A 12,402-nucleotide genomic window follows, 5' to 3' on the forward strand; every position below is an offset into this window, starting at 1 on the left:
TTGTCACTCTCAATCCTTTACCTACTTAATTTTTCTTTGTAGCACTTATTACCAACTGATATATATCTGTTTGAGTTTTGCCTGCAAGCAGCGGTGTTGTTTAATGGAGTGGGCTCTCACTATTTATCGGTAAATGAATGGAATAAATTAGTGGTGCATCTGCTCTGGGCTAGGCATTGTGCTAGAGCTGGGTGCGGAAACAGATGACGATTAGGATGAAAATTAGTGTAACATGCAATGAAGAACTTTCTTTCTTTCTTTCTTTCTTCTTTGTTTTGAGATGGAGTCTCACTTTGTTTTCCAGGCTGAAGTGCAGTGGCATGATCTCGGCTCACTGCAACCTCCACCTCCCAGATTCAAACGATTCTCCTGCCTCAGCCTCCCTAGTAGCTGGGACTACAGGCGCCCACCACCACACCCTGCTAATTTTTGTACTTTTAGTAGGGACAGGGTTTCACCATGTTGGCCAGGCTGGTCTCGAACTCCTGACCTCAAGTGATCCACCCGCCTTAGCCTCCCAAAGTGCTGGGATTACAGGTATGAGTCACTGTGCCCAGCCTAACAAAGAGGTTTCTTAAGCCCAGATAGATGAGGCTCTAGCAAGTGACAAGCTATTTTGAGTTAGTTTAAATCTCCAGGCTAACATGCATTAGGAATTGTTGAATCTGACAGAGGGGCACACGAGGGCTCATTATACTATTCTCTCCACTCTTCTTTTTTTGAGACAGCGTCTGTCTGTCACCTAGGCTGGATGGAATGCAGTGGCACGAACATGGCTCACAGCAGCCTCAACTTCCTGGGCTCAAGCAATCCTCCCACCTTAGCCTTCCGAGTAGCTGGGACTACAGGCACTCACCATCACATGTGGCTAACTTAAGTAGACATGAGGTCTCCCTATGTTGCCCAGGCTGTTCTCAAACTCCTGAGGTCAAGTGATCTGCCTGCCTCAGCCTCCCAAAGTGAAAATCTTTGTATGTTTGAAATGTTCTCTAATAAAGGTCTTGTTTTGTTCATCTTTAGATAAATTACGCCTTAGACTGTTGTAACTAAAATAGCTCAACCCTTAGGGGTGCTTTTAGAGATGTTGTGGAGACTCAAAGAATCCGTGCTGATTTTGGTGGCAATTTATGAGCACTTTGAAAGGATAGATGTGATCAGTGGTAACCAGCACGGGTTTACTAAGCTAGAGTATACCAAGATGAATTTACTCCATTATACATTTAATTTTTAATTTTTAATTTATTTATTTAGAGACCTAGTTATGAGACAGGCTAATTTTTGTATTTTTGTGGGGAAAAGCAAGAGAGATCAGATTGTTACTGTGTCTGTATAGAAAGAAGTAGACATAGGAGACTCCATTTTGTTCTGTACTAAGAAAAATTCTTCTGCCTTGAGATTCTGTTAATCTATGACCTTACCCCCAACCCCGTGCTCTCTGAAACATGTGCTGTGTCAAACTCAGGGTTAAATGGATTAAGGGTTGTGCAAGGTGTGCTTTGTTAAACAGATGCTTGAAGGCAGCATGCTCGTTAAGAGTCATCACCACTCCCTAATCTCAAGTACCCAGGGACACAAACACTGCGGAAGGCCGCAGGGACCTCTGTCTAGGAAAGCCAGGTATTGTCCAAGGTTTCTCCCCATGTGATAGTCTGAAATATGGCCTCGTGGGAAGGGAAAGACCTGACCGTCCCCCAGCCCGACACCCGTAAAGGGTCTGTGCTGAGGAGGATTAGTATAAGAGGAAGGAATGCCTCTTGCAGTTGAGACAAGAGGAAGGCATCTGTCTCCTGCCCGTCCCTGGGCAATGGAATGTCTCGGTATAAAACCCGATTGTACGTTCCATCTACTGAGATAGGGAAAAACCGCCTTAGGGCTGGAGGTGGGACATGCAGGCAGCAATACTGCTTTGTAAAGCATTGAGATGTTTATGTGTATACATATCTAAAAGCACAGCACTTAATCCTTTACCTTGTCTATGATGCAAAGACCTTTGTTTGTCTGCTGACCCTCTCCCCACTATTGTCTTGTGACCATGACACATCCCCCTCTCAGAGAAACACCCATGAATGATCAATAAATACTAAGGGAACTCAGAGGCTGGCGGGATCCTCCATATGCTGAATGCTGGTTCCTCGAGTCCTTTCTCTATACTTTGTCTCTGTGTCTTTTTCTTTTCCAAGTCTCTCATTCCACCTCACGAGAAACACCCACAGGTGTGGAGGGGCAACCCACCCCTTCAATTTTTTGAGACGGGGTTTCACCATGTTGCCAAGGCTGGTCTCGAACTCCTGGGCTCAAGTGATCCACCAGCCTTGGCTTCCTGAAGTGCTGAAATTACAGGTGTGAGTCACCATGCCCGGCCTTAGTCCATTTTAATTTAAGGTTAGGAATCTGACTTACCAGAGAAACGTAGTAGACAACATATCTGGATTTCAGCAAATTGTTTGGCAGAATCTTATGATATTTGTTTGAGAGGCCCACAGTAAGGTGGAAAGGGCTGCTTTGTTTTATATAAACTTAGGGGAGAAAGCTTCATCCTGGAGTCAACAGATTGGGTTTGAATCCTGGCTCTGTCCCTTTCTAGCTGTGTGTTTGGTTGTTACTCCACCTCTCTGAGCCTTAATTTCTTCATCAGTAAAAGTAATATTCACCTCCTAGGGTTGTTGGGAGGGAGAATAAGAACTTCTAAAGTACCCGAACCTAGCAACTAGGACACTATATTTGCAGGCAAGATGAAGAGGGGTGGGGAAGTAATAGGAAACAGCCCAAATCGAGAGCCATAATAGTCTCTCTTTACTTAGTGCCAGTGCAGGCCTGTGATTCTGTTCTTAAAAACGTCTGGGGCAAGCTGCAGGAAAGACCCGAGATAGTTTATGTTCTACCATAAGCCTAAGGGAGGAGGACTCCAGGCAGGGAGATTACTCATGGCACCTGCTAAGGAGAAACGCTACTGACCAGAGAGAGGTCCAGTCATGTACTCCGTGCTTGGTGAATTTCTGTCCTGACCTCGCTGCCTCTAGAAGTGTTCAGGTGGAAATTGGAAGGTCTATAAGAGGCAATTCGGCAGCATACAGTGGCTCACGTCTGTAATCCAAAATCCAAGCATTTTGGAAGGCCAAAGTAGGAGGATCACTTAAGCCCAGGAGTTTAAGACCAGCCTAGGCAACGCAGTGAGATCCATCTCCACTAAAAATTTTAAAATTTGCCAGGTATGGTGGTGTGCACCTGTAGCCCCAGCTACTCAGGAGAGTCAGAGAATCGGCGCACCCCGGAGTTCGAGGTTGCAGTGAGCCATGATCACGCCACTGTACTCCAGCCTGGGTGACAGAGCAAGACACTGTCTCAAAAACATAAATAAATAAATAAATAAATAAATAGGCCGTGCGCAGTGGCTCACGACTGTAATTCCAACATTTTAGAAGGCGGAGGCCAGCGGATCACCTGAGGTCAGGAGTTCGGGACCAGCCTGACCAACGTGGTGAAACCCCCAACTCTACTAAAAATACATAAATTAGGCGGGCGTGGTGGTGGCCGCCTGTAATCCCAGCTACTCGGTAGGCTGCAGCAGGAGAATGGTTTGAACCCGGGAGGCAGAGGTTGCAGTGAGCCAAAATCCCCTCACTGCATTCCAGCCTGAGACTAAAAAAAAGAGGCGATTTCCCACATCGGTGGAAATTTGAGCTGTTTAAACTCTGGATGCCTTTTTCAGTTCTAATATTCCAGATCTCCTTGGTGGATAAACACTTCATTTCCCTTCTCCTGAGCAGAGCTCCTGAGCCCTGGCCCGCTGGGAACCTGTCACTTCTAAAAAAGTTCGAGGTCCGGACTGTCTCTCCCGGAGCCTTGAGGCTGATGAGACGGAGCGAGAGAGGGGCCGGGGCCGAATGGAGTCTACTCGCGGGCCCAGGGAGGCCGCCAGAGGGCGCCCGGGACCGACCGCAAGAATAACTTCCTTCCTCTTCCGCTAACTTCCCGGCAGCGCGCCGCTCAGGGTGGGGGCCCCGAGGGCTGGGGCCGTCGGCTTCCCCCTGGGGATCCCCCGCTTCAGAGAAAGCCAAGCGTTAGGCGCAGCCAAAGCCGAGAGGCAGCGGAAGCTCCCGGCCCGGGGTGGCGCTGGGTCAGCGGGTACCTTCTCGGCGGTCCCCTGGCCGGCCGAACTCGCGCCTGGTGTCCTGTCACCCCGCTCCCCGCCCTGAGTGAGCCTGTCCCCTCTCAGGGGCGCGCCCGAGTCGCTCCGGGTTGGCTGCGCCAGTCCAGAGTTAAACTTTCAGCCAATGAAAAAGGGCGCGAGGCGTGACGCACGGAAACGTCATGGGAATTCCCCCCTCCGGGGGGCCGAGAAGGGGCTTTCCCGGCCCTGAGCCCTGCTGGCAGGCGAGGTGTCGCGACCGGTCCCAGGTGGGTCGGGCGCGGAGAGAAGCCGCAACCAGAGCCGCCGCCACGGTGAGTGGCTGGATTCAGACCCCTGGGTGGCCGGGACAAGAGAAAAGAGGGAGGAGGGCCTTTAGCGGACAGCGCCTGGGGCTGGAGAGCAGCAGCTGCACACAGCCGGAAAGGGCGCGCAGGCGACGACACTCGGATCCACGTCGACACCGTTGTACAAAGATACGCGGACCCGTACGTACACCTGTACCTGTGCTGGCGCACACACGGCAGCGTCCGTGCAGTCGCACTCGCACACACATGCACACGGAGACGTGCCCACCGGTGCACTGGTGCCTGCACCCACACCCTTCACGCACAAACTCAAGATACGCTCACCCGTGTCCGTACATCAAGACAGGCGCTGACACACACCCACACTGAGAAGCTCGGGATTCACCTATCTACACACATGCTCGCTTGCACACTCATGTTGACGCCATGGACACACAACATGCAACCAAGCACTACAGCCGAAACACACTTGTGGAGCTGTGATGGAGACACACTCTTGTATTAGGTGGGGGGGGGGGGGGGGGAGCGTGCAGAGATCTCCCTGTCGCCTGCGCGCCCAGAACCGGTGCGGTGTGGGACCAGCTGCTGTTGTGAGGTTTGGGAGAGAGAGAAAAGAGCCCACTCCGAGGAGGAGACACTTTTCCCGCAGCCCCAGAATCGCGTTCTCGGGGCAGAACCCCGGGGCCTCCCACAGGAAAGAGCCCCCGCCTACAGGCTGTTCGAAGGGGAGGCCGTCCGACAGCAGGAATGTCCCCCCAAAAGCCCCCGGGGTTTATCAGCCGTGGCCTCCCTCCTGGCAGAAAATCCCAAGGTTGCTCCAGACCGGGGGAGGGGAGCGGGAGGCGGACTTGGCCCCAGACTGCCAGCCTCCTCCCGGCCGTGAAAGACCCTCCTGTTCCCTGCCCTGGAGGGAGGAGGGGGCTTAACCCCCACCGGGGCTTCCCGGATTCTCCTAGACCTCTGCCCGCTGAAAAGCAGCGGGAGCCCGTAGACTGTCGAGGGCCTCCCGCCCCTCCCGTCGCGAGGGCGGGGCCAGTGGCGTCATTTCCAGGCCCGCCCCCTCCGGCCCCGCCTCCCCTTGGTATTTTCGGGACTTTCCTAAGCTGCTCTAACTTTCCTGCCCCTTCCCCGGCCAAGCCCAACTCCGGATCTCGCTCTCCACCGGATCTCACCCGCCACACCCGGACAGGCGGCTGGAGGAGGTCGGACCCTCCCCCAAATCTGGGCCCCCATCTCCCGCCCACCCCCATTTAGATCTGACCCCCTCCCCCACGCCACTCCTCCCAACTTTAGGCGGGCGTCTAAAATTCTGGGAAGCAGAACCTGGCCGGAGCCACTAGACAGAGCCGGGCCTAGCCCAGAGACATGGAGAGTTGCTACAACCCAGTGAGTCATGCCGCCTGCCCCTGACCCGGCCGGCTGCCCCTCGTGTCTGTCCACCTGTCTGCCCGAGCCCCCTCTGCTGCCTTACACCTGTATGCTCGCAGATGCTCTCAGCCTGCCAGTCTGTCCATCTGTCTGCAACTCTGCCTCCAAAAGGAGCTTTCTCTTGGGTCTGAGGAGGAGGGGGGAGTGACCACTGAAGACTTGGAGATGGGAGGTGGGGCTGTGGGGGGTGCTGAGAGTCGGATGCCACCCCCAGTCTGTCTCCAAACCAGGGTCTGGATGGTATTATTGAATATGATGATTTCAAATTGAACTCCTCCATTGTGGAACCCAAGGAGCCAGCCCCAGAAACAGGTCAGCAAGTTCACTAACCTCCCCTAGTCCTAAAGCGGGGGAGGGAGAGCATGTGCCCTCTCTCTGGGGGAGGGGCTGGGAGATCGTGGCTCAGCAAGGTCTCTCTGTCCCCAGCTGATGGCCCCTACCTGGTGATCGTGGAACAGCCTAAGCAGGTGAGTGAGCAAAAGGGAGGGTGTGGAATGGCTTCAGCTTTGGGGACAAATGGGGTAGTGGTAGCTGGCTGGCCATGGAGGAGCCATTGCCGAAGGAGGCCACAGGGGATTGGATGGTCACTGCTGCTGATCAGAGTGCTGTAGTTTGGTTCAGGGCTACTACCAGGCACTGCGGTCACTGCTGGCCTGGGTGGTCTTCCCTGATCACAATGCTACTATGCCCTTGGACCTTCAGAGAGGCTTCCGATTTCGATATGGCTGTGAAGGCCCCTCCCATGGAGGACTGCCCGGTGCCTCCAGTGAGAAGGGCCGAAAGACCTATCCCACTGTCAAGGTGAGCCAGGATGGTGCTGGAGGGTGGGCTAAGTGGACAGCATGCCCAAGGCCCTGACTGACAGTCCCTGCCTCTCCTAGATCTGTAACTACGAGGGACCAGCCAAGATCGAGGTGGACCTGGTAACACACAGTGACCCACCTCGTGCTCATGCCCACAGTCTGGTGGGCAAGCAATGCTCGGAGCTGGGGATCTGCGCCGTTTCTGTGGGGCCCAAGGACATGACTGCCCAGTAGGTGCCCTCTACGCCTGGCCCCCACTGGTATGCCCGTCTGCCAGTCCCAGGCCCCAGCCCACCTCCATGAGCTTAGCATCTGACCAAGGGGAAAGATGTAGGTTGGCCCCAAACCCAAGGGCCTAAGTAGAAACTCCAATGGCTTCCTTGAGGAAGTAAGGCTGAGCTGAGCCCTGGCAATGGGAAAGGTGCCTCAGGAAGAAAGAACTGCATGGCCAAAGGCCTCCGATTCTCTCTTCTCAGATTTAACAACCTGGGTGTCCTGCATGTGACTAAGAAGAACATGATGGGGACTATGATACAAAAACTTCAGAGGCAGCGGCTCCGCTCTAGGCCCCAGGGCCTTACGGGTATGGGTGCAGGGGGTGGGTCGGGTATGGGTGCAGGGGGTGGGTGGGTCATGGGAGGTGCTCATGGAAGGAGCAGGGAGGGAGAAGCCCAGGGGTCACACATGTACCTACTGCCCAGAGGCCGAGCAGCGGGAGCTGGAGCAAGAGGCCAAAGAACTGAAGAAGGTGATGGATCTGAGTATAGTGCGGCTGCGCTTCTCTGCCTTCCTTAGAGCCAGTGATGGCTCCTTCTCCCTGCCCCTGAAGCCAGTCATCTCCCAGCCCATCCATGACAGCAGTGAGTATCCTGATTGCCTGGGGTGCCAGGCCTGGTGGCAGAGGTGGCATGAGGGGTGACCTCAAGCTGTGCAGTCAAACAGACCCAGGTTTCAGAACCTGGCCCTGCCACATATGAGCTGAGTGATCCTGAGCAAGTCATTTCCCCCCCGAAGCTTCTGTCTTTAGTAAATGTGTATATTGGGTGTTTCCTGCAGCTCCAGGGGTTGCTGAGATAAGGAATACAAAGCCCCCAGCTTCTTAAATGTGGCCTTGGCTATTGCATCATCTCAACTAATCCATATCCCACTCCATAGAATCTCCGGGGGCATCAAACCTGAAGATTTCTCGAATGGACAAGACAGCAGGCTCTGTGCGGGGTGGAGATGAAGTTTATCTGCTTTGTGACAAGGTGCAGAAAGGTGAGACTGGAGCCCACTTTGGGCACCAAGGACATCGAGTATAAGACTGGGGCCAGGGAAGCTCTAGGGTAAATGGCCCCAGAGATTCCACCGGGAGCTGTGGCCAAGCTTCCGTTTTCCTTGTAGATGACATTGAGGTTCGGTTCTATGAGGATGATGAGAATGGATGGCAGGCCTTTGGGGACTTCTCTCCCACAGATGTGCATAAACAGGTACCCAGGGCTAGGGCCCGGGCCCGGGCTGGGGGCTAAATTAGGCTAAGGACTCACTGACACCCTGTGTCTCCCTGCACCCCCCAGTATGCCATTGTGTTCCGGACACCCCCCTATCACAAGATGAAGATTGAGCGGCCTGTAACAGTGTTTCTGCAACTGAAACGCAAGCGAGGAGGGGACGTGTCTGATTCCAAACAGTTCACCTATTACCCTCTGGTGGAAGGTGGAGCTGGGCTGAGGACCTCAGGGTGCTGGCGGGGGGCCAGGCTGGGCTAGAAGAAGGTCCCAAGAGCTAGATGTGGGGATGCATGAGCCAAGTCAGAAGTGCGAGGGTCCCAGGAGGTGCTTCCTAGGAGCCGGCCCTGAGGGCTCTTCTGGGAAGGGCCCCTGAGGCATGACACAATAACTGGGCTCAATCTCATTTTCCTCTGCCCCCAGACAAGGAAGAGGTGCAGCGGAAGCGGAGGAAGGCCTTGCCCACCTTCTCCCAGCCCTTCGGGGGTGGCTCCCACATGGGTGGAGGCTCTGGGGGTGCAGCCGGGGGCTACGGAGGAGCTGGAGGAGGTGAGGGGGTACTGATGGAGGGAGGGGTAAAGGTAAGAGAAGCTGTGGAGGAAAAAAATCTGGGGGAGGCCGGGCGTGGTGGCTCACGCCTGTAATCCAGCCCTTTGGGAGGCCAAGGCAGGCAGATTACCTGAGATCAGGAGTTCAAGACCAGCTTGGCCAACAGCGTGAAACCTCGTCTCTACTAAAAATACAAACATTAGCTGGGCATGGTGGCAGGCGCCTGTAATCCCAGCTACTCGGGAGGCTGAGGCAGGAGAATCGCTTGAACCCTGGGAGACAAGAGGTTGCAGTAAGCTGAGATCACACCACTGCACTCCAGGCTGGGCAATAAGAGCGAAACTCCGTCTCAAAAAAAAAAAAAAAAAATCTGGGAGAGTCATGGCTGGTGCCCGCTTCCCACAGCCCTGCCTGTATCCACAGGTGGCAGCCTCGGTTTCTTCCCCTCCTCCCTGGCCTACAGCCCCTACCAGTCCGGCGCGGGCCCCATGGGCTGCTACCCGGGAGGCGGGGGCGGGGCGCAGATGGCCGCCACGGTGCCCAGCAGGGACTCCGGGGAGGAAGCCGCGGAGCCAAGCGCCCCCTCCAGGACCCCCCAGTGCGAGCCGCAGGCCCCGGAGATGCTGCAGCGAGGTATGGACTCCGGGGCACGGGCGGTCGGGGCGCCGGGGCTGAGGACCTAGCCCTGACCCACGCCCTCTGTGGCCCGTAGCTCGAGAGTACAACGCGCGCCTGTTCGGCCTGGCGCAGCGCAGCGCCCGAGCCCTACTCGACTACGGCGTCACCGCGGACGCGCGCGCGCTGCTGGCGGGACAGCGCCACCTGCTGACGGCGCAGGACGAGAACGGAGACACGTAGGCAACAGAGGGCCTGGCGGACGAGGCGCGGGGTGGGGGCAGGAAAGGGACCGGCACGGAGGCGGGCTCTGCAGTTTTCGGACACGCCAGGCTTCAAGTCCGGCCTCGGTGTTCACAAGCTCTGTTCAAGCTGCTTGGTCTCTCCAAACTTCAGTTTGGTCGACCGTGCAAGGGGTACAGTCATAGCACTTACCTACCTCAAAAGGTGCTGCGAAACGTTAAGTGCAGGCACAGCGATGCCCTGGGCCACGTGCTGGGTTCCATGGGCCCCAGCGAGGGAGACTATGAGGGCGGTGGGGCCTTGAAAGCGAAGGATGCTCTGAGTGGCTGGGCCAGACTCTCGCTCCCCAACCCCCAGACCACTGCACCTAGCCATCATCCACGGGCAGACCAGTGTCATTGAGCAGATAGTCTATGTCATCCACCACGCCCAGGACCTCGGCGTTGTCAACCTCACCAACCACCTGCACCAGGTGCGGGGGCGCCTACTGGGGAGGTGGGAGGGGTTGGAAGGCAAGTGGGTCTCGGGCCTGGCTCACCCTGCTTTCATCCCCAGACGCCCCTGCACCTGGCGGTGATCACGGGGCAGACGAGTGTGGTGAGCTTTCTGCTGCGGGTAGGTGCAGACCCAGCTCTGCTGGATCGGCATGGAGACTCAGCCATGCATCTGGCGCTGCGGGCAGGCGCTGGTGCTCCTGAGCTGCTGCGTGCACTGCTTCAGAGTGGAGCTCCTGCTGTGCCCCAGCTGTTGCATATGCCTGACTTTGAGGGTGAGCTCCCCATCTCACCTGACTAAGGGGGCAGGCGGGGACCAGGGAGGGTATCTGGCCAGTGCCCAGAATGGACTATGAGGTGTCGAGATTGAATGGTCAGGGCTGGTCCAGGGGCTGCCTTAAGGGTCACAGCTGCAGGTTGAGCATCCTGCATCCTTAGGACTGTATCCAGTACACCTGGCAGTCCGAGCCCGAAGCCCTGAGTGCCTGGATCTGCTGGTGGACAGTGGGGCTGAAGTGGAGGCCACAGAGCGGCAGGGGGGACGAACAGCCTTGCATCTAGCCACAGAGATGGAGGAGCTGGGGTTGGTCACCCATCTGGTCACCAAGGTGGGACTGAGGATTGTGGAAGGAGTGGGGCCAAGGGTGGTGGAGGGGCCAAAGATGGTGAAGGGGGGGGCTGGCCAAGGGGACCATGCTGTGGTGTCAACTCTCGCTGCTCGCACCCCCAGCTCCGGGCCAACGTGAACGCTCGCACCTTTGCGGGAAACACACCCCTGCACCTGGCAGCTGGACTGGGGTACCCGACCCTCACCCGCCTCCTTCTGAAGGCTGGTCAGTCTCACCCTCAGGGGCACTTGAACAGGGTGGGGGGAAGGGAGAGAGGTGCCTCCCAGTCCCCCGACTTTGCAGTCCTTAATGTAGGCCCCCACCATACCGCCCCATGACGGCCTCCCTCTCCCAGGTGCTGACATCCATGCTGAAAACGAGGAGCCCCTGTGCCCACTGCCTTCACCCCCTACCTCTGATAGCGACTCGGACTCTGAAGGGCCTGAGAAGGACACCCGAAGCAGCTTCCGGGGCCACACGCCTCTTGACCTCACTTGCAGCACCAAGGTGAGGCCAGCCCGGGACTAGAAGTGCTCTGAGTGACGGGGTCCAGAGTATCTGGACTTAAAGACACAGGCTTAAGGACGAGGTGGGAGGTAGTCAGAACTGCGGCTGTCTCCCCAGGTGAAGACCTTGCTGCTAAATGCTGCTCAGAACACCATGGAGCCACCCCTGACCCCGCCCAGCCCAGCAGGTGAGAAGCATCAGGCATCCCCAGCCCGACTCCTCTGACTCCTCACAGAGGTCTCTTCTCCTTCAGGACCTCTGAAGGAGGCCTCCCTTTCTCTACCCTCAGCCCCGTCCATCACCCCTCATGGTCCTGTCTGTCGCTTACCTTGGGAGAAAGGCAGTGTTCAGGTGTCCATGTCCCCACCCAACTCTGGAGGTAAATGACATGTCTGTATGTGTGTCCCCCTAAGGGCCGGGACTGTCACTTGGTGATACAGCTCTGCAGAACCTGGAGCAGCTGCTAGACGGGCCAGAAGCCCAGGGCAGCTGGGCAGAGCTGGCAGAGCGTCTGGGGCTGCGCAGCCTGGTAGACACGTACCGACAGACAACCTCACCCAGTGGCAGCCTCCTGCGCAGCTACGAGGTGGGTTGGCCTGTGCCCTGCCCCCTCCCCAGCCTCCTTTCCCGATCTGAGTCCAGGTGCCTCCTTGGCCCCAGGGCTCCCGAGCACATGCCCTAACCATGACTCAGACCTCATTCCTCTGTCTTCTCAGCTGGCTGGCGGGGACCTGGCAGGTCTACTGGAGGCCCTGTCTGACATGGGCCTAGAGGAGGGAGTGAGGCTGCTGAGGGGTCCAGAAACCCGAGACAAGCTGCCCAGCACAGGTAAAGGGGCCTCCCTGGAAGGTGGATCTGGACCTGGAGGGCCGGAGGCCTGAGGCTTTGACTATCCCATTCCTGTCCCCATTTACCCCCAGCAGAGGTGAAGGAAGACAGTGCGTACGGGAGCCAGTCAGTGGAGCAGGAGGCAGAGAAGCTGGGCCCACCCCCTGAGCCACCAGGAGGGCTCTGCCACGGGCACCCCCAGCCTCAGGTGCACTGACCTGCTGCCTGCCCCCAGCCCCCTTCCCGGACCCCCTGTACAGCGTCCCCACCTATTTCAAATCTTATTTAACACCCCACACCCACCCCTCAGTTGGGACAAATAAAGGATTCTCATGGGAAGGGGAGGACCCCTCCTTCCCAACTTATGGCAGCCCCTGATGTGACTCTTGTCCCTGGAACC

General features: G+C 56.7%; 1 protein-coding gene across 6 annotated transcripts, besides 9 other annotated features; it reads left to right on the forward strand.

Annotated features, from left to right (window-relative positions):
* Positions 1,370 to 1,877: an enhancer, noted in NCBI's record as "NANOG hESC enhancer chr10:104151284-104151791 (GRCh37/hg19 assembly coordinates)". NCBI's record gives its function as "activates a minimal SCP1, AML or CMV promoter by ChIP-STARR-seq in naive H9 embryonic stem cells {active_cell/tissue: H9 hESC(naive)}" and the evidence as "EXISTENCE:reporter gene assay evidence [ECO:0000049][PMID:30033119]".
* Positions 1,878 to 2,384: an enhancer, noted in NCBI's record as "NANOG-H3K27ac hESC enhancer chr10:104151792-104152298 (GRCh37/hg19 assembly coordinates)". NCBI's record gives its function as "activates a minimal SCP1, AML or CMV promoter by ChIP-STARR-seq in naive H9 embryonic stem cells {active_cell/tissue: H9 hESC(naive)}" and the evidence as "EXISTENCE:reporter gene assay evidence [ECO:0000049][PMID:30033119]".
* Positions 3,814 to 4,213: a silencer, noted in NCBI's record as "silent region_2755". NCBI's record gives its function as "represses an Ori minimal core promoter by ATAC-STARR-seq in GM12878 lymphoblastoid cells {active_cell/tissue: GM12878}" and the evidence as "EXISTENCE:reporter gene assay evidence [ECO:0000049][PMID:35858748]".
* Positions 3,953 to 12,372, forward strand: NFKB2 (nuclear factor kappa B subunit 2). 6 transcript variants are annotated; one of them, NM_001288724.1, is given in 23 exon segments: positions 3,953 to 4,443; positions 5,731 to 5,823; positions 6,096 to 6,177; positions 6,292 to 6,332; positions 6,568 to 6,666; positions 6,747 to 6,898; positions 7,145 to 7,251; positions 7,370 to 7,528; positions 7,824 to 7,928; positions 8,055 to 8,140; positions 8,228 to 8,366; positions 8,582 to 8,707; positions 9,131 to 9,340; positions 9,420 to 9,561; positions 9,923 to 10,037; positions 10,121 to 10,334; positions 10,498 to 10,667; positions 10,790 to 10,892; positions 11,023 to 11,174; positions 11,292 to 11,361; positions 11,588 to 11,760; positions 11,891 to 12,002; positions 12,098 to 12,372. In NM_001288724.1, coding segments are annotated over 22 exon segments (2,700 nt in total). In that variant the 5' UTR covers positions 3,953 to 4,443; positions 5,731 to 5,802; the 3' UTR covers positions 12,220 to 12,372.
* Positions 4,224 to 4,513: an enhancer, noted in NCBI's record as "active region_3927". NCBI's record gives its function as "activates an Ori minimal core promoter by ATAC-STARR-seq in GM12878 lymphoblastoid cells {active_cell/tissue: GM12878}" and the evidence as "EXISTENCE:reporter gene assay evidence [ECO:0000049][PMID:35858748]".
* Positions 5,564 to 5,613: an enhancer, noted in NCBI's record as "active region_3928". NCBI's record gives its function as "activates an Ori minimal core promoter by ATAC-STARR-seq in GM12878 lymphoblastoid cells {active_cell/tissue: GM12878}" and the evidence as "EXISTENCE:reporter gene assay evidence [ECO:0000049][PMID:35858748]".
* Positions 6,024 to 6,143: an enhancer, noted in NCBI's record as "active region_3929". NCBI's record gives its function as "activates an Ori minimal core promoter by ATAC-STARR-seq in GM12878 lymphoblastoid cells {active_cell/tissue: GM12878}" and the evidence as "EXISTENCE:reporter gene assay evidence [ECO:0000049][PMID:35858748]".
* Positions 7,615 to 7,909: an enhancer, noted in NCBI's record as "tiled region #13585; K562 Activating DNase matched - State 16:ElonW". NCBI's record gives its function as "activates a minimal TATA promoter and a strong SV40 promoter by Sharpr-MPRA in K562 cells {active_cell/tissue: K562}" and the evidence as "EXISTENCE:reporter gene assay evidence [ECO:0000049][PMID:27701403]".
* Positions 9,124 to 9,443: a silencer, noted in NCBI's record as "silent region_2756". NCBI's record gives its function as "represses an Ori minimal core promoter by ATAC-STARR-seq in GM12878 lymphoblastoid cells {active_cell/tissue: GM12878}" and the evidence as "EXISTENCE:reporter gene assay evidence [ECO:0000049][PMID:35858748]".
* Positions 10,718 to 11,414: an enhancer, noted in NCBI's record as "H3K4me1 hESC enhancer chr10:104160632-104161328 (GRCh37/hg19 assembly coordinates)". NCBI's record gives its function as "activates a minimal SCP1, AML or CMV promoter by ChIP-STARR-seq in naive and primed H9 embryonic stem cells {active_cell/tissue: H9 hESC(naive and primed)}" and the evidence as "EXISTENCE:reporter gene assay evidence [ECO:0000049][PMID:30033119]".

This window comes from Homo sapiens, chromosome 10 (assembly GCF_000001405.40).
Source record: "Homo sapiens chromosome 10, GRCh38.p14 Primary Assembly".
Lineage (NCBI taxonomy): Eukaryota > Metazoa > Chordata > Mammalia > Primates > Hominidae > Homo > Homo sapiens.